Source organism: Homo sapiens, chromosome 11 (assembly GCF_000001405.40).
Source record: "Homo sapiens chromosome 11, GRCh38.p14 Primary Assembly".
NCBI lineage: Eukaryota > Metazoa > Chordata > Mammalia > Primates > Hominidae > Homo > Homo sapiens.
Genome location: NC_000011.10, coordinates 86,328,344 through 86,349,290, shown reverse-complemented (window position 1 = coordinate 86,349,290; position 20,947 = coordinate 86,328,344). Strand labels below are relative to the sequence as shown.

The 20,947-nt window shown below is 37.0% G+C and overlaps 1 protein-coding gene and 1 long non-coding RNA gene across 14 annotated transcripts in view; one reads left to right on the top strand and one right to left on the bottom strand.

Annotated features, from left to right (window-relative positions):
• LOC105369421 (uncharacterized) overlaps positions 1–13,327 on the top strand; it is a 60,137-nt gene extending 46,810 nt beyond the window's left edge. For all 3 annotated transcript variants that reach the window (XR_007062826.1, XR_007062825.1, XR_001748531.2), the window contains one exon: positions 12,358–13,327. This is a non-coding gene — a long non-coding RNA (uncharacterized LOC105369421). The remainder of the gene's footprint in view (positions 1–12,357) is intronic.
• Positions 3,348–20,947, bottom strand: part of HIKESHI (heat shock protein nuclear import factor hikeshi) — a 43,704-nt gene continuing 26,104 nt past the window's right edge. For 7 of the 11 annotated variants that reach the window (NR_136324.2, NR_024598.2, NM_001322407.2 and 4 more), the window contains 3 exons: positions 11,761–11,912; positions 4,570–4,688; positions 3,348–3,707 (listed from right to left, as the gene is read on the bottom strand). Coding sequence is in view for 7 of the 11 variants with exons in the window: in NM_001322407.2 (NP_001309336.1) it covers positions 3,653–3,707; positions 4,570–4,688; positions 11,761–11,912 (326 nt within the window). In the remaining 4 variants the exon portion in view is untranslated. Of the gene's footprint in view, positions 4,689–11,760; positions 11,913–20,947 lie in introns of all 11 variants that reach the window. The other 4 variants (NR_024597.2, XR_001747904.3, NM_001322404.2 and 1 more) reach the window with 4 other exon arrangements.

The following is a 20,947-nucleotide window of genomic DNA, read 5'->3' as shown; positions in this document are numbered from 1 at the left end:
CCATCTCGGCTCACTGCAGCCTCCACCTCCTGGGTTCAAGTGATTCTCCTGCCTCAGCTTCTGGAGTAGCTGGGATTACAAGCATGCACAACCATGCCCGGCTAATGTTTGTGTTTTTAGTAAAGATGGGCTTTCACCATATTGGCCAGGCTGGTCTTGAACTCCTAGCCTCAAGTGATCCACCCACCTCGGCCTCCCAACGTCCTGGGATTACAGGCGTGAGCCACCATGCCCAGCCACCTTTATATATTTTTGACTAATATTCATATCTTCTCTCCTCTGACAACTCTTTATAATTTTGGCCTTTCCCAAATTCAGGCACAGTAAGACTATGAAGATGTCTTTTATGCCTGAACTCTTCAGGTTTCCTTCACATTATGGAAGAAAAGACAATAGGAAAAATTAGGTTTGTTTGGCACTCTACAAATTTTAATTAATCCCCAATCATTTTAAGACTTTTTTTTTAAAAAAAATCAAACTTAAAAGAAAAAAAGAAAACTTAACAAATCAAGAGATTAGCCTTCTCCTGTTAATTATGCCAGGTAAAATTTGTGAATAAAAATGTTTCAGTGTTTCATTTCAGGTAAAAAGAAACATGCTCATGTTCATGTAAAGACTAACACAATAACTGTCTGCAAAAAGATATACTTTACGAGATTACAGACCAAGAGAATTATCACTGAATATTGTCCATAATATGTTGTACTCTCATAATCATTTTATAAATTGTATTGTTCCTCAATAGTGGATTCCACTCTTCTCTAATCTAGAAAAACATCATTGTCTGCAACATCCTCAACTATCAGCAAACTTAGTCTTCTGGAAGAGACATCAGGGAAAAACTGGCCTCAGTGAAAAATTAGCTCAGCAGATACTGTAACAACTAGCATGGCAGTAAACTCCAAGATGATGATCACTGGGTTTATGTTTCCCAACTAAATGACAAGTACCTTCTCCAGACAGCTAAACAACCACTCCATCAGGAGACCTTAAACCAATGATTCTTAGGAATCCTCCAGAAGCCAACATCTTTGGTGGAAGACTACTAATCAAGACCTTCAAATCAAACAAATGACAATACAAAGTAGACAGCATGGCAACAAGGAAGGCTACAAGGCAACAAGGAAGATTAATTTTCTGATACCTTTGCTACTTTCCCTCTTCTGCTTATTACAGTTTGGTACTCCCTAGAGATTGCCTAAAGGTTTCTCAGTATTCTCTCACATTTATCATTTTATACTTAATTCTTTATGGTGTTTTTTGGCCACCTTAAGAATTTTGAGCAGTTTTCTCAAACTATAGCTACTCCCTGAATCTTTCAAATTCCACCATAAAATATATATATATATATATTTCCTTTAAATTCTTGAGGAGGCCAGTTAATTCCCACAGGTCCCTTTTGGTATTTGAATTTTCTTCATATCATTAACCTCACTCTTCATTCTTGTAAAAACTGGATCTCTACCTTAATTAAACAAATATACTTCTGCTACAATCATTACAGCACTGTCAGCAGACAGAATCAAGCTCACCAAGGCAGGGGACAAATGTTGGAGCTATCCTCACTGCACTAGTCAGTTTTCTCCAGATTTTTCAGACTTCTCTGTAGGAACTATTTAACTCCTCTAAGAATATGCCCACCTCAAGGAAACAATTCTTGGCTCACTCCTGTTGTGATAAATATTTATATTTCTACTATCTTCTGTAACCCAGCCGGCATTATTTATGTCAACACCAGGTTTTTACCTGCCTCCTGTACACAAACCTACCTTGCATATATAGAATAATTGTTAGATGTTCAGATATTTAAAGCCCTTTTCTTTCCAGCATATCACGTGTCTCCGAGAATAACCAGAAACTTCCAAAATAAGGCAGGTATAGGCTACTCAGGAAAGCTCCCAGAAGTGATGACTCCTTATGCATACTGTGCAAGATACTATTCTAGAAGTAAGAATAATACTAGAAAATGTGGCCCAAAATTTCACTCCCATCATCTGCTCTGGAAGCCCAAGAAACTAGTTTAAATTCACTACAACCCAAGATTATCATGAATAATCATATATTCTTTTGATTTCTTAGCAGACCAAGGAATAGTTTGTGTTTACTTAGTATTTCCTGTTGTATCACTACAAAAATCACTGGGAAGAGGCTACCTGACTGTAGAAGAGGCACAACTGAACTTCAGGATGTTTTTTCAGCTTGGGTTTGGCAATCTAGGTCCTAGATACAAGTTGTAGTACATGAATAATCATTTTGCTTCTGGAAATTGTATTGCAATTAGCTGATGTTTTCTGTGCAGAGTATTAAAGACTGTTGTGTAGCCATTGCCAAGTCTCATGATTCAACAATTGCTATGGTTTGAATATTTGTCCCTTCCAAAATTACGTTGAAATTTTAATCCCAATGTGGCAGTACTGAGAGGTGCGGCCTTTAAGAGGTGATTGGATCATGAGGGCTCTGCCCATAGGTTAAGTTATCACAGGAGGGGAACTGGTGGCTTTATAAGAAGAGGAAGAGTGACCTCAGCTGGCACAAAAGCATGCTCAGCCCCCTCACTGTGTGATACGCTGCACTGCCTAAGGACTCTTCAGAGTCTCCCCACCAGCAAGAAGCCTCTCACCAGCTGCAGCCCCTTGGCCTTGGAATTCTCAGTCTCCATCATTGTAGGAAAAAAAAAAAAATCCTTTTCTTTATCAATTACCAACCCAGCACTTTGGGAGGCTGAAGTAGGATTGCTTGAGCCCAGGAGTTCAAGCCTAGTCTGGGCAACACAGTAAGACTGTGTCTCTGCAAAAACATCAAAAAAATTAGCTGGGTATGGGGGTGCACGTCTGCAGTCCCAGCTACATGGAAAGCTTGGGGCAGGATGAGCACTTGAGCCCAAGAGGTCATGGCTGGAATAAGCTGTGATCACGCCACTGCACTAAAGCCGGGACAACAAAGCAAAACTTCGTCTTAAAAAAAAAAAAAACATTTAAGTCAATAAATTACCCAGTTTTGGGTATTGTTATAATCAACAAAAAATGAACTACTAACCATCCATTAACAAGAAGAATCCTATATTCTACACATAAATGCCTACCAGTATTAAATAAAAGCTCACCAATATGGCAATTTTATTAAACTTATATGAATCTGCAGATATAAAAAGTGACAGCCAACCTGTATTAATTGGAAAAACTGACAATCTTAAGAAATAATCTCTGAAAATAATTTCTCCATATTTAAAAATGTATACTTCATATGTTTTTCAAGTCTCCCAAATTTTGAAATAGGTAATTGAAAAGTTAACTACTCCAGCAAACCATTGTTTCATTTCAATAAATGAATGATTACACATGCAATGGTACTTGGCACACTACTGTTTGGTATAGGTTTTATTTTTAAGTAAAAAAAATGAATCATAGCCAAAACAAAATGTCTTGCCTTTGAATGGTATTTTAAGCTTAAGGGGAAAAAAGTCTTTAATGATGAACATATTTTCATTTTTCAATGTTTTTAATTTTTAATAAAGATTTTTAATTAAGCTTCAGTCTCTAAGCAGTTTTTAAACTTAGGTTTCGTGATCCTTTGACCTCATACTTTTAGATGGAGTCAGTTATCTTCAAAACATGACAAATTTCAGAATCCATTAAAAATTATTTTATTCAAATTATGTTTTCCAAAAGAGAGGGTTCTGTGCTAGTCGTCTTTGAAAGTTTTCATACCTAGAAAAGAAAACACATATATTTACATTCACAAGAAAATTAAAATAGGATCTTTCATTAACTGCCAAATGACTTATCCAAAACAATTTTACATGTCATTTCTAAAAAGCTATAAAAAATCTAAAAAGATAATCTGGAAATGTAATTATTCTTATAAAAAGACAGCAAGCATAGGAATTTAAATATCGGGGCAGTTTTGATTAGCTTTTATCAGAGAGCACAAATCATAAGAAATTTTAGTAATTGTTTATCTTCTGCAAATTTAAGACCTAGAAGGGACCTAAGGAAAAAAATCAAATTCAACTCCTATTTCCTCATTCCACAGATGAGCAGATGAGAGAAATTTGCTCAGGGTCACATAGCTACATTATGCCAAAATTCAAACCTAGTGCATTCCAATGCTCTCCATGCTACACCATGGTACCACTTCTCAACAAACTCTTCCTAGGCATCCTCCCATCTCTAGGATACTCAAAGTGAAAAGAAATATCTATAAAACACGGGAAAGTTGGAAAATAGATTCATTAGCCATTCATGTACACAGTGCAGTATAAACTACTCTCATAGATGGTACTTCTAAATGAAAATACACAAATATTTATAAGCTTTAATAGTGGTCCCTAAAACATAGGCAACTATATTTTCCTGTCTTTATAAATTCATAATGGCGACAATATAACAAAATATTTAGGGTAAGAACTGTTTCTCATCAGATCTCTATAGTACATACTTTAATGGCATGCAGTGCTGATGTTCACAATAAAAGAATATGTTTAAATGTCAAAAAAGGAATATATTCATAGACAAAATAGATATTCAGTTATAAAAAGCCTTAATATTGGAGACAGAAAATGCCTCATACCATTTCAGAACCACATTTGCCGGAATGAACATTTCAGATGGGCTTGGTGTCATCTGGGCCTGAGAGACAGCAAATGATGAAGCAAAATTGTAGAAATTGTCCAACATCTTTTGTGTGAACTGAAAAGTTAATAATAGATTAATGGATTATACTGAATACTTCATTTAGAACTCAATATTTTTAAATTAAAAGTGTTCTCACATTAACTTGTTTATAGGGAGTGTCAGTTCTAAGAGAGTCTAATGCTGAAAGCTGGCTGGGTGCGGTGGCTCATGCCTGTAATCCCAAAACTTTGGGAGGCTGAGGCAGGAGAATCACTTGAGGCCAGGCATTCAAGACCAGCCTGTGCAACATAGTGAGGCCCTGTGTCAAAAAAATAAAATTAAATAAATGAATAAAAAAGAATGTTAAGAGTAATCATACATACAATGACACTGTGAAATATGCTACTCACTTTGGGGAAAAAAAAAGAAAAAAATTTTTCTTCAAAATATTTTCTTTCATCTCCATGTCTGCATCCACTATGTCCCTCCTCAATTATCACTCTCCTCAAATCAACCTATTTTCTCATATAAAATAGTAACCATCTCTAAGAAGTCTTTTACCTGCCAGAAAGATAAGAGTTTACATATTATAAAGGAGCAACTGGTTATTTCCATTGCTGGAAAGAAGATAAAGGCAGCACTATTCCATTTCCTCTGTTTCCTAATCTGTTTCCCTTCCTTGACTCTAAAATGATCAAATTCACTAACATACTCCAAGTCTCCTTGGTAGAAGCTAGAAGTAAATGGACTCACATTTCCTGAGAATCAAATGGGCTTAAGTACTAACCCTAAAAGTAACTGAACTTCTGAAGATAATACTACCTTCTACTCACTCAAAAATAACCTTTCCAGCATCACTTTCTCAAATATACAAAATCAGCCATGCCTTCTCTTCTCTACACAAGAGAATTGGTCTTATTAGGTTTTTTTATTCAGTTGTTGAATAATATGAAGGCAGTATAATCCAAGAGACTCTGCTGCGAAGGCACCTGATTAATATCAAAAGTTCAGTAAAGTCACTAACAGTTTCTTCGTTTGTTTTTGAGACAGGGTCCCACTCTTTCACCCAGGCTGGAATGCAGTGGCACAATCATGGCTCACTGTAGCCTTGATCTCCCAGGCTCAAGTGATCCTCCTGCCTCAGCCTCCCAAGTAGCTGAGATTATAAGCATGCACCACCATGCCTGGGTAATTTTTTATCTTTTTATAAAGACAGGGTCTCACTATGTTACCCAGGCTGGTCTCAAAATTCTAGGCTCAAGCAATCCTCTCACCTCAGCCTCCCAAAGTGCTAGAGTTACAGGCATGTGCCACTGTACCCAGACTAAAGTCACAACTAAAAGATCAATATTAGGAAAAAAAAAAAAAATCAACAGCAGTCCTCCACACCAGTGACAATAATTTTTAAGTGTAACTGAAATCTTTAAAAGGATTCCATTCAGAATATAAACAAAGCATTTTCTCCAATACCTAGAAAAAATGCTAAGACAAACTAGTAAGATTTTTGTGGAAAATATTATAAAGACTACTAAGAGACAGAAAAGAAAACAAAAGGACCTATATATACCATTTTCAATGGAAAGATATACCATGTTCAATGGAAAGACATAACATGTCACATATGGAAAGACAATGTGGTAAAGGTGGCCAATTCTCCCCAAATTAAACCCATATATCCAATGTTATTACCAACAAAATTCCAACAAGGTTCTTCATGAAACTTGACAAGCTAATACTATTTAATGAAACTCAACAAGCTGATATAATTATTATGAAGAATACCTACACAATTATTATGAAGAATACCTATACATATTTTGATGACTGTGAGGAGGAACTTGCCCCACTGGCAAAGAGACAGGCAAATAAACTAATTGGAATAAAAGAGACAGCCCAGAAATAAACCTAAGCATATATGACAAAGATGCTATTACTCATGGTAAAAAAAAAAAAATGGGACAAATTACTCAATTCATGGGGCTAGGACTAGTTTTCCATAAGGGGAAAAATGAATTTAATTCCCTTACCATACTGCACACAAACATATTCAAAAAGTAAACCTTAAGGCTTTAAGAACTGAAAGACAACATCTTAGGCTCTGCTTGAGGCCAGGAGTTTGAGACCAGCCTGGGCAACATAGCGAGACCCCCAGTCTACACACACACACACACACACACACACACACACACACACACACACGAACATCTTTATATCTTTACATATCAGGACAGAGAAGGATTTCTCAAACATTAAAAAACCCACAAATCCACAAATCATAAAAGAAACAATACATTTATCTATATACAAATATAGTATATCTGTATGTAAAAGTCACTATAAGCAATGTTAAAAGACAAGCACCATGCTAGAAGGAGAAAAATGCAATGTATTTACAAAGGATTATTATCCAGAACACATAAAGGCATCTTAGGTTTTTTTCCCAAAAGACTAAATTTAAAAAGTGCCAAAAGCAATACAACAGAAAATTGGACAAAATATATAAAGTCAATTCCTATAAAAGGAAATACAAACACAGCCAAAAGTGTGCAAAGATGCTCAATATCACCAGTAATCAAGAAACACAAACTAAGTATGATATTCTAATTTCACTCATCAGTTTGGCAAAATTTTAAAGGTCTGATAAATGTTAGTGAGAACATATGAAAAAGGAAATGAAAAAAACTGGCTCATTTATACAATGGCACACTATGAAGCAATCAAAACAAAGTATATTCCATGTATCAACATCGATAAATCTTTAAAATAATGTTGAGTGAACAACAGCAAGTTATACAGAATAATACTATTTATATTCATTTTTAAAACACACAAAAGAACAAATCAACAAGAAGGAAAAACAAAGGATTCAACACAGAAGAGAAACAAAAAGAATTTCTGTAGTAATGGTGAAATAATACCTTGTCTATGGCTATACAATAGGTCCAGAGAATAGTCAGTCAACAGTAGAACAAAAAAGAAAGGACAGTCTGGGCAACATAATGAGGCCCCATCTCTACAAAAAATTAAAAAGTTAGGTGGGTTTGGTGATGCTTGCCTGTAGTCCCAGCTACCAGCTACTAGTGGGAGCCCAGGAGTTTGAGGCTGCAGTGAGCTGTGATTGCACCACTGCGTTCCAGCCTAGGCGACAGAGCAAGACCTTGTCTCAAAAAAAAAGAAAAAAAAAAAAAAGGAGAATTCCAAGTGGAATGTTTCCGAGACCAATTTGAAACTGATATGTTTAAATAAACTGAATGAGAATTTACACTTAGTAGAGTTTGAGCATAAATTAGAAGTAGAAACATAGAAATCTATGCAAAGGAAAAAAATGAGGAAAAATGAAAAATTATACAAGAAAAGAAATGTAATCGTTGTACCACACATAGCTCAATTCTGAAAAATATTTACCTTCTCATAATACTGTAAACTTTTAATACTGATTTAACAAAAATGTATACTGATAAGGTGGGGAGAAAAGAAGTATGTACATGTTGGGAAGCAGGGAAGTGAGAGAGTTTCATCATGTCTTATATTAGCAAATAAATAGAAAACATCTATAACAGAAAAACTAACAGATTTTAAGCAAGGTTTTTTCTGATATATGGAAATAACAGACACTAGGAAAAATAGATTAAAAAGGGGAGGGAAGTTGAAAATCATAGCTTCTAAGGAGCAGAATAGAAGTAGAATGTAAGAGTCATAACAGAGGACAGCTGTTTCACATATTACACTATTTGAGGCTGGGCGTGATGGCTCACGCCTGTAATCCCAACACTTTGGGAGGCCAAAGTGGGTGGATCACGAGGTCAGGAGTTCAAGACCAGCCTGACCAACATGGTGAAACCCCATCTTTACTAAAAATACAAAAATTAGCCAGGCCTGGTGGCACGCGCCTGTAATCCCAGCTACTTGGGAGGCTGAGACAGGAGAATTGCTTGAACCTGAGAGGCAGAGGTTGCAGGAGCCGAGATCACGCCATTGCACTCCAGCCTGGGCAACAGAGTGAGACTCCATCTCAAAAAAACTATTTGACTAATATCCAGAATCTACAAAGAACTTAAACAAATTTGCAAGAAAAAAACAACCCCATCAAAAAGAGGGCAAAGGATATGAACAGACACTTCTCAAAAGAAGACATTTATGCAGCCAACAGATACATGAAAAAATGCTCATCATCACTGGTCATCAGAGAAATGCAAATCAAAACCACAGTGAGATACCATTTCACAACAGTTAGAATGGCGATCATTAAAAAGTCAGGAAACAACAGATGCTGGAGAGGATGTGGAGAAATAGGAACGCTTTTACACTGTTGGTTGGCGTATAAACTAGTTCAACCATTGTGGAAGACAGTGTGGCAATTCCTCAAGGATCTAGAACTAAGAAATACCATTTGACCCAGTGATCCCATTACTGGGTATATACCCAAAGGATTACAAATCATGCTGCTATAAAGACACATGCACACATATGTTTACTGCGGCACTATTCACAATAGCAAAAACTTGGAACCAACCCAAATGTCCACCAATGATAGACTGGATTAAGAAAATGTGGCACATATACACCATGGAATACTATGCAGCTATAAAAAAGGGTGAGTTCAAGTCCTTTGCAGGGACATGGATGAAGCTGGAAACCATCATTCTGAGCAAACTATCACAAGGACAGAAAACCAAACACCGCATGTCCTCACTCATAGGTGGGAATTGAACAATGAGAACACCTGGATACAGGGCAGGGAACATCACACACGGCGGGCGGGTCTGTCTTGGGGTGGGGGGCAGGGGGAAGGATAGCATTAGGAGAAATACCTAATGTAAATGACGAGTTAATAGGTGCAGCACACCAACATGGCACATATATACATATGTAACAAACCTGCACGTTTTGCACATGTACCCTAGAACTTAAAGTATAATAAAAAAAAACTATTTGACTATTTAAACCAAATACATGTAATACTCATAAAAATTTGGAGTAACTAAGTAATTAAATTAGAAACATGTTTAAACAGATACAGATAGTACTATACATATTTTGTGGATACACAGGAATTTTTTTAAGTACTAAAATATGAATAGGAAAGATATAAAAAGTTAGAAGGTAAAAGGCAGGAAGAGAAGCAGGCAGCAGTGGGCTATATCTATAATGCCTTAATTTCTTTTTTAAAAATTAGTGGCAAATAAGACAAAATATAACAGTTAAATCCAGGGGGAAGACAATGGAAGTCTTAATGTATACCCCACCATAAAGAGAGCTCTGTAAAGACAGGTGTTATTCTATTTTGTGGACCTATTTGTATCTATGAGTGCTTAGAAATGCCTGGTACAGGCTGGGCGCGGTGGCTCACGCCTGAAATCCCAGCACTTTGGGAGGCCAAGGCAGGCGGATAACGAGGTCAGGAGATCGAGACCATCGTGGCTAACACGGCGAAACCCCATCTCTACGAAAAAATACAAAAAAAATTAGCTGGGCCTGGTGGCGGGCACGTGTAGTCCCAGCTACTTGGGAGGCTGAGGCAGGAGAATGGCGTGAACCCAGGAGGCGGAGCTTGCAGTGAGCCGAGATCGCGCCACTGCACTCCAGCCTGGGCGACAGAGTGAGACTCCGTCTCAAAGAGAAAAGAAAAAGAAAAAAAGACATGCCTGGTACAGAGTAGTTACATAATAACTATTTGTGGAAAATATAAGTTACTCTATTTTCTCTGTATTTAAAATATTTCGTAATACATTTAATTAAAACTATAGTTTTATTTTAAAAACTCAAATAATTTATAAACATGTACAGTAAAAAAGTCTTCTTACCCTTCTCCAGGGATAACATTTTAATGTGTATTTTCCAGACACTTTTAAAATATTGTCTACACAGGATACTACGATTATTTTATAGTTTGTTTTCAGCACAGCAGCTTATTTGTAAAATTATGGGAAAAAAAACATTTTTGAGACCCAGAGTCTGTCATTCTCAATTCAGTCCATTTTCAAAGATGTGACAAATCTACCTTTACATTCATGACCACAACCTTCAAAAGTGCGCCTCTGGTACTGCCAGGCAAACACATATGGTTTCCCTAATCCATTCACTCCTCCTCTGCTAGAAGACTTATTTAGTAGTCTTTTTTTATTTCAATTTCTACTACCTCGATCTTAGCTGATGATCGTCCTTTCTATTTCACTAAGCAAGAAGAAATCAGGAGACAGCCTGCACAAGTTCTCATCACCACATCTACCAGCCTCCTGAATCTGTACCCATATATCCATTATCCTGTCTAAAGTGAACACCTCCATATATGCTGCTATTTTCTACTCAAGGACACTGCTTTAGCAGTTCTCCTTGCTCTCCTACATCATCAATTTTTCCTCTTGATAATAGGCTAAGAAGTCAGGAACAGAAAGACAAATAGCATGATTGATCTCACTTATATGTGGAATCTAAAAGTTGAACTTACAGAAGCAGACAGTAGAATGATGGTTGCCAGGGGTTGAAGAGTGGAGGGGAAGGGAAAATGAGGACATGTTGGTCAAAGGGCACAAAGTTTCAGTTCAATGGAATGAATAAATTCTGAAAATCTATTGTACAGCATGGAGAATACAGTTACTAATAATGTATACTTGTAATTTGCTAAGAGATCAGATCTTAACTGTTCTCTACAAAAAAATGATGACTGTGTGAGGTGACTGATATGTTAAGTAGCTTGATTTTATGTCAAAATATAGGCTGGGTGTGGTGGCTCACACCTGTAATCCCAGCACTTTGGGAGGCCGAGGCAGGAAGATCACCTGAGGTCTGGAGTTCGAGACCAGCCTGGCCAACATGGCAATACCCTGTCTCTACTAAAAAAAAAATACAAAACTTAGCCGGGTGTGGTGACATGTGCCTGTAGTCCCAGCTACTCAGGAGACTGAGGCAGGAGAATCGCTTGAACCCGGGAGGCGGAAATTGCAGTCAGCCGAGATTGCGCCACTGCACTCCAGCCTGGGCAACAGAGCAAGACTCCATCTCTCAAAAACAAAATAAAACAAAACAAAATGTAAACATGTATCAAAAACATCACATTGTATACCCTAAGTTACGATTTTAACTTGTATATTATACCTTAATAAAGCAGTGGAGGGGGAGGTAAAGAATGAAATGTATGTTGCATTACCTGAGTGAATGAGTCAACTGAGGATACAGCAGCATTACCTACAGGAGTCTGCTGAGCCATACTGTCTAATAATTCCACTGAAATTCCAATCTGAGCAACAGATGGAGTTCGGACAATATTCATGGCTCCAAAAGGATGTTGGCTTCCTTCTCCTGCAAGAAATTAACATATGACACACATTTCAAATTAAACTTGTAGTCACACAATTTCCTTTGTAAATTTATAAAGAACCTCTAATTTATATACATGAAAAAGTTTTATGTCCAAGTTTGTCCCTCTTTTCAGATAAATGCAAAAGCCTACTTCGTTTTTAGCATATTAACAAAGAATAAAAGAACTAAAAGTTTCCCACCAGAAAAATAGCTGTCACATTTCTGAAATGTATTGAAACTACTGCAACTAGACACAGACAGTAACAGAGTGTGGGAAAAATAAATAATTAATAGAGAAGACTCCCTTTAGCATTCCTTATGGAGCAGGTCTGCCAGCAATGACTTAGTTTTTGTTTATCTAGGAAAGTATTTCTCCTTCATCTCTAAAGACAGTTTTGCTGAGTATATAATTCCTGGTTGATGGCTTTTTTTTTTTTCCTTTCAGAACTCTGAATATGCCAATCCACTACCGTCTAGAAGACTATGGGGTCTCTGATGAGAAATCAGCTATTAATCTTAGCAAGGATCCTTGCATGTGATGAGTTACTTCTCTTGATGCTTTCAACATTCTCTCTTTACCTTTTGACAGTTTGATTATCGTGTGTCTTGGTGTAGTTTATCCTACTTGGAGTTTCTTGAGCTTCTTAAATGTGGTTAATGTTTTTCCTCAAATTTGAGAAGTTTCTGAGCATTATTTATTTAAATATTGTTTTAGTCTGTTCAGGCTGCTATAACAAAACACCATAAACTGGGTAGCTTATAAACATCGGAAATTTATTTCTCACAGTTCTGGAGGTTGGGAAGTCCAAGATCAAGGAACCGGCAGATTTGGTATCTGGTGAAGGACCATTTTCTGGTTCAGACAGTGCCTTCTCACTGTGTTCTCACGTGGTAGTAGGGCAAGTGATCTTCTTATTACTCTAAGAGTGGTAATCCCATTCATGAGGGCTCTACTCCCATGACCCAGTCACCATCCAAGTCCCTACCTCCCAATACCTTGGGGGTTAGGATTTCAGCATATAAATTTAAAAGACCTCATCATATAAAAAGACACAAACATTCAGACCAGAGCAAATATTCTTTCCAGCCCTCCCGCCTTTCCATATGTTACTCTCATTACACTGTGTCTGCTGTGCATGTTGGTGCACTTGAGGGTGTCTCACAGGTCTCTAAGGGTCTGCTCTTCAAACTGGATATTCCAATTAATTTATCTTCGACTTCACTGATTCTTTCTTCTGTCTACTCAATTCTGCTATCTAAGCCCTTTAGTGAACCATTCAGTTACTGTACTTTTCAGCTATAAACTCTGTTTAGTTCCTTTCTATAATTTCTATATTGATATTCTCTATTTGATGATGTATCATTCTTCTGGTTTCCTTTAGCAATTTGAGCATAATAAAGACAGCTTACTTAAAGTCTTTGCCTGTGCTTCCCTGGGGGAAGTTTCTGTTCGTTTCCTCTGTATAAGAGCCTTACTTTGTTTCTTTGTATGTTTCATAATTTTTTGTAGAAAACTGGACATTTTGAATATTACAATGTGACGACGCTATAAATCAGATGTTTCCACCTTCTAGGGGTTTGTTGTTGCTGTTTATTGTAGTTGTTTCCTCATTTAATGACTTATCTGAACTAATTTTGTAAAGTCTGTTTCTTTGTTATGTGTGGCCAGTGAAGTCTCTGTTCCATTAGTTAGTAGTCTGCTAGTGATTAGAAAGAAATTTCCTTAAACCTCTGCAACCAAAAAATTCTGCCAGTCTTTGCAGATGGGCTCTGCGTGTTGGGACATGCCTTTAGTATTCAGCCAGGCAGTTTATAACTCCACCTTAGTCTTCACTTCCTGCTTGTGCGGAGACTTAAAGTGAGCCAGAAGAGAGAGCTCTGGGTCTTCGCGGGTCTTTCCTGAGCATGCACAAAGCTCTGGGAATGCACGTACCCTTCTAGATTACCAAGAATATGTCAGAGAATTTCAAAGCCCTCATTCCCCAAAGCATCTCATTCCCAACCTTTCTGGTTAGTTTTGGTTTACTCCAACTGTTTTCCTTTGCCTCGGGCAACAGTAGCTAAAACATATGTCTGTAAATACTTTTAACAAACACCCCCAAGGTAGATACTTTTCCATGAAGAGTTCCAAGTTAGGTGACATAAAGGCAGACCTCTTTTTTTTTAAACAGTCTTCTAGCAAGCCACCAGACAGATGAAAACAAGTTAATTACAATTCTTTCTGAATTAGGTCTATCCTGCTCCCTATATCAGTACCAGGAATGGAGTCTGTTATTTTCAAGGCTATCACTGAGCTGAGAAGCAGATGGGACAAGGGTAGCCAAATGCCACAAAGCTCACTGTTCTTACTGAGATTCAGTGTATTTTCTTGATTAAATGTTCCCCTGATTGCTACAAGCTTTTGGTTAGTTACCAGAGTTCCAAAAAAGTTGATTCTGGGTCAGACACAGTTGCTCATATCCTGTAATCCCAACACTTTCAGAGGCTGAGGCAGGAGGACTGCTTGAGCCCAGAAGTTTGAGACCAGCCTGGGCAACATGGGGAGACCCCATCTCTACAAAAGTTAGCCAGGCGAGGTGGTGCATGCTTGTGGTCCTAGCTACTTGGGAGGTGGAGGTGGGAGGATCGCTTAGGCCTAGGAGATCGAGACTACAGTGAGCTGTGATCTTCTGACAGTGTTGTTGTTGCTTTTATGGAAGACTGGATTTTCTGGAGCTCCTTACTCTACCGTTTGATTTCTTTTAAATCTAGAATTATGCTAAAATCCAGAAAACATATCATTATCAAAGCATATCATCAAATAGATGCAAAAATAATAAATTATAAATCATAATACAAAGAAGAGCAAGCAAAATATATGACCTAGTCTTAATATAAAAAACAAATGTAAATTAGATCAAGTTCTTTAAAACACTGTTAACAGTAAATGCAGCAGCTAATTTTTTTTAAGACTCTTTCTCAAAGCATCCCTCCTCCATGTAAATCAAGAGCCTAACACAAAACACAACTCAGAGGAAAAATTCCTACAGGGAGCTAGTTCTTTATTCTCAGTATACAAGGAAAAGCAGTCACCATCATTTGTTATTTGCATCTAATGGAAACTTTACACACACACACACACACACACACACACACACACACATATTTTACAAAGAATGTTGAGAAGAATCAGGAAATAGTGGAAAACAACTTTATTAGATTTTTTCTAAGTATTTAAGTACAGCAAATCCAGATAGTCATTCCACATTTTCCTTGTTTTTAAGATATAGCTGAAATGGGCTATGTCCTGTGAATACAACTGCCCATCAACCATCATGGATAAACATGGAACACATGCGTCTTATGGAACACATCCATTTTATAAATTTCATAAGTCAGATATCTATTAATAAAGTTATAGCTTATGGTTGTATCTTGTTCTTTTTTTGGCATCTACATTGCCATAATATAATACCTGAAAGCTTGAAGTTTTGAAACCTTTAACGGCTCATAATTTGTTGAAGGATGGCTATCCTCTGATCTACATTTTGCAAAATATTTTCATTTTTAGATTTATAACCATTATTTAGAATGATCAAGCCAATTATTTTTTTTTTCATTCCTATACCTATTTCCTTCCAATCACTTCTCTATACACCCCTGCTTTCAGCATTTGTCTATTTATAAAACCATATCCAGTCTATTTTGGAACACAAATATAAGAGATAAAAGAATAGCAGAACACATCCTTTACTACTTGTCCATGACAAAATATTATGTGAGAAATTCCTTCTTCTTAAATGACTGAGTAGAATACCATATTTCTTTTCTTTTTTTTTTTTGTTTGTTTGTTGTTGTTGTTGTTGAGACAGAGTCTCACTCTGTTGCCCAGGCTGGAGTGCGGTAGGACGATCTTGGCTCACTGCAACCTCCGCCTCCTGGGTTCAAGCAATTCTCATGCCTCAGCCTCCCGAGTAGCTGGGATTACAGGCCTGTGCAACCACACCGGCTAATTTTCAAATTTTTAGTGCAGACGGGGTTTCACCATGTTGGCCAGGCCAATCTGGAACTCTTGACCTCAAGTGATCCACCCATCTCGGCCTCCCAAAGTGCTGGGATTACAGACATGAGCCACCGCACCCGGCCTCATATTTTCTCTTGATCCTTAAAAATACATTGTTCAATCATCAAATTTTTAGTTGAGAAAACTCAGATAATGAGATCTTATTTGAAGATTCATAGTAGGTAATTTTGCTTATATGATCCACTTTACCATCGTCATCAGTGTAGAATTTACCTTTCAGTATTCATTTTCTGATTTGTCTAATAATTGTGAAACTTCTTCCTCTGTCAATTTTCTTCTCTTTGCCATTATGAACAAAATATTTAAAAGTATGAATTTACATTCTGTTCAATAAAAGCTAAAAAGAGACCATAAAGATGGTGTCTCCAGTCTCCTTTTATATTACTTAAAAGGTGGCATAATCTTTTGGGCAATGCAACATGAAAATTGTAGGTTAATGCAATGACAAACCAAGGCCCACAGGCCAAATCGGTCCCACAACCTATTTTGTATGACGTGGGAGCTAAGAATGGTTTTCAAATATTTAAAGGGTTGTTTAAGAATAATATGCCACAGAGATCAAATGTAGCCCACAATGCCTACAATATTTTCTAACTGATCCTTCACAAAAAAGTTTGCCAACTTCTACTCTAGCTAATTCCAACATTTTTCTTTTTTTATTTTAGCCCCCTTTTTGTAAGTATAGTTTTGATGAGTACTGATAAAATAATTTCCTGGATGAAATAACAAAATGCTTCAATATATAGGTAAAGTAAGACCAGTAATATCCCCAAATGCTTCTTAGATTTACAAAGTGGTCCATATGGTAATTGCAAGATAAAATGAGTTTTATTCTATTAAAAAACATGTAAGTAAATGTTATCTCTATTCTTTATTTTTTTTTCCTCTCTGTTCTTTAAGACCTCTACAAAAGAATAAAACTCATGAAGTACCAATCCTTCTAATGGGTAAAAATGCTCAAAAGGGAAATTTAAAAATTAAAAGTCCACTGGTTGAGATGTCTGTAAGTGTGCATAGCAGCAAAGAGATGAGGACTAAAGAAAACAGTTACGGGCCGGGCACGGTGGCTCACGCCTGTAATCCCAGCACTTTGCGAGGCCGAGGCGGGCAGATCACAAGGTCAGGAGCTCGAGACCATCCTGGCTAACACTGTGAAACCCCGTCTCTACTAAAAAAAATAAAAATAAGTTAGCTGGGCATGGTGGCAGGCGCCTGTAGTCCCAGCTACTCGGGAGGCTGAGGCAGGAGAATGGCATGAACACAGGAGGCGGAGTGCCACTGCACTCCAGCCTGAGCGACAGAGCAAGACTCCGTCGCAAAAAAAAAAAAAAAAGAAAAGAAAACAGTTATGGCAAAAGGAAGGAATTCACTATGCAGTAGCATTTCACTATGATGACATAGCTAAAAAACTACACAGAAACAACTTAAATATGCCTGCTTGAAAGCATTCCTAGTATTGAATATACAAATTTAGAAATATGTATTTCTAAAAACTCCCTGCTTCATTTCTATTGATACCTAGACAAACCTGAAATTACATTTTCACTAATGTATATTCTAAGAGCTATGTGACTCTCAAAGGCTTATCAGTAATTTTACACTAGATAAAAATATAATTTATCTGATACCATAGTATGTCTGAAAGGTACTTAATGAAGCAAAGTATCTAAAGTCCATCACTGTCCTCTATAGAGCACAAAATAAAAGATATAAAACATCCCTATTCTCAAAGAGCTTACACCCTAATGTGGCGGGGGAGGGAGGGCAGTAACAGTCACTTAACCATTCTGAACTGGTTTCATTATCTGGGTAATTTCTTTTCTTTTTGAGACAGAGTCTAGCTTTGTTGTCCAGGCTGGAGTGCTGTGGTGTGACCTTAGCTCACTGCAACCCCTACCTCCCAGGTTCAAGTGATACTCCTGCCTCATATTCCTGAGTAGCTGAAATTACAGGTGTGTGCCACCATGTGCAGCTAATTTTTGTATTTTTAGTAGACATGGGGTTTCACAATGTTGGCCAGGCTGGTCTCGAACTCCTGTTCTCAAAGATGCGCCCGCCTCGGCCTCCCAAAGTGCTGGGATTACAAGCGTGAGCCACTGCACCTGGCCCTATCTGGGTAATTTCTAACATCCTTTCTAGTGCTGACATTCTATGATTTTACGAAAATATAACAACCATTTATTAAGTACCAACTGTGTACAAGGTACTACCATGCATTTGTGTACATTATCCCTAAAAAGAAAAACAAAAAAAAACTTGCACTGCAGGTATTATCTCCATTTTACCTGAATTCTCCTCTGTAATTAAAGGTCTTGGTTAAGATTATACAACCAGTAATGAGTATCACTGAGATCCATAACGAATCATATCACTGTTCATAGCTGTTACAGGTTTTAACAGATGTTTATGTTGTTATAAGTGGAAACCAATATTCAGTTGACTGTCTGAATACTGAAAAGACTATCAAGTTTTCTCATGCATCTGACAATTTATGATACTGCTAAGGCTAGAAATTACTTTCAGAACTTTGGTAAGATATTTTAAGAAAAAAAATTTCAAAAAGTACTGACAGTACAAATATAGAACTAGAAGAAAATACTTTAGGTACAAGTGATTTCTAATTCATCAGAAAAGCAGGCTAAGGCTAGTCAAAGAACTTCACTGAGGAGACTTAGGTAGTCCACTGAGAAAATTCTCAGGACAACCTGGACCTGATCATGAAATGCTTCTCTGGACCAGATTAAATCAAAATAAAAGTGAGTAAATGATATTTTTGCTTCTTGTTATTCAACTCTGAAGGATGTGCAAATTCTAGACTTTGAAGAAAATATGCAGAGTATCTAAATAGAGCTTTTGGCTTCCTGTTATCTAACTCCCTTGCATGCTATGAAGGGCTGCAATGTTGAATTTTGGTACAAATATGATGAGAATGAAGATAAATATCTTTAATTCAAAATAAGTCACCAAGATTTTTGCCCTGAAGTTTTTGTCATTATATTCAGAACTTCACTAAGTGGGGTGACAAACAAGGAAAACTTGCTTGTAGTTGACAAGACCCTATAAAAATTACCAAGTCTGGTTTCATAGTTGTCAAATATAAACATTTATTTCTGTAATATTAATTCTTGGAACACTGTGAAAAGTTAACAATGTATATTGTAATCCCTAGAGGAACCACTAAAAAACTAATGCAAAGGTATATAGTGAAAGAACCAAAGATTTATGGGCTAAAAACACAATCCAAAAGAATGCCAAAAAAGGGGAGAAAAAAAATACCAGCAAGATAAAAATATAAACCTAACCATATAAATAACTGTAAATATTAATGGACTAAACACCCTACTTAAAAAGCAGAAACTAAGTTAAAAAAAGAAAAGGCAGCACCAAACTACATGCTATTTAAGAGACAGAGATTTACATTAAAAGTAAAAGGTAAAAGTATGTTATAAAGGAAATTTATGTTAAAAGAAAAAATATAGCATGTAAACACTATAAGAAAGCTGGAGAAGCTATAAATGTTAGATGAAGCAGACTTTGAGACAGTATTATTACTGGAGATAAAAGACATTTCATATTGGTAAAAGAAACAATTCATCAATTTATACAAACTCAGAAAGCAGAGGAAGAAAAAACCATTGTTATGCATTTATGTTTATCTCATTGCACTCTTACCACTTCTATTCAAAATGGTGTTTGAAGGCCTAGACAATACCATAAGGCAAAAAGAAAAAAAAAAAAAAAGAAATCACAGGCATAAAAATTGAAAAGAAAGAAGTAAAAAGTTTTTTTCATAGACACGACATCTGTACAGAAAATCCTAAAGCTACTAGAGCTAATTAGGGACTTTAACAAGATATTCAATATATATCATACCCTTTCCTTCATCCTTCAGGATACAAAGCCATACAAAAATCAATTGTACTTCTATAATACTAGCAACAAATAATTGGAAATTTAAAATGTTTTGAGATTTAGAAAAAAAGCCAAAATGCCCAATGAGGAATGGGTAATCAAACCACAGCTTACCAACAAAATATAATTCTAGACTACCAATTTAAAACAAATAGGAAAAAAAGTGGGTGGACTAATCCTCCAGATCACCGTTTCTGAAAGCTTTTTTTTTTTTAACTCATCACGTTTTCCTTTTAAATAAAGATGAAAATCTCATCTTCTTTTCCCATCTTAACTCACCTAAACATAAGAATGTATCTGTTTATCACTTTACTTGGTTAATAGGAAAGGAGTGGAGGAAAAGAAAGAGTAACTAAACATTTAATACTTTTGGAACCCATCAAAATTTCATAACCCATTATGAGGTAATATTAAGTAAAAATGGCAGAAAACAGCAGTTACAAGCATGTGAGGAGCGTGTGTGTGTGTGTGCGCGCACACACACACACACACACACAAAACACAAAACACAATGGAAAGAAATGTGGGGCCGAGCGCAGTGGCTCACACCTGTAATCCCAGCACTTTGGGAGGCCACGGCAGGTGGATTACTCAAGACCAGGAGTTCAAGACCAGCCTAGCCAACATGGTGAAACCTTGTCGCTACTAAAAATACAAAATAGGGTCAGGCATGGTGGCTCATGCCTGTAATCCCAGCACTTTGGAAGCCCGAGGCAGGAGGATCACAAGGTCAGGAGTTCAAGACCAGCCTGGCTAAGATGGTGAAACCCCATCTCTACTAAAAAGACAAAAATTAGCCGGGCGTGGTGGCAGTTACCTGTAATCCCAGCTACTCAGGAGGCTGAGGCAGAGAATTGCTTGAACCTGGGAGGCAGAGGTTGCAGTGAGCATACAACTCCAAGAGGTTGCATGCCACTGCACACCAGCCTCGGCAACAGAGCCAGACTCCGTCTCAAAAAAAAAAAAAAACAAAAAACATTAGCTGCGCATGGTGGTGAGTGCCTGTAGTCCCAGCTACTCAGGAAGCTGAGGCATAAGAATCACTTGAACCCGGGAGGCG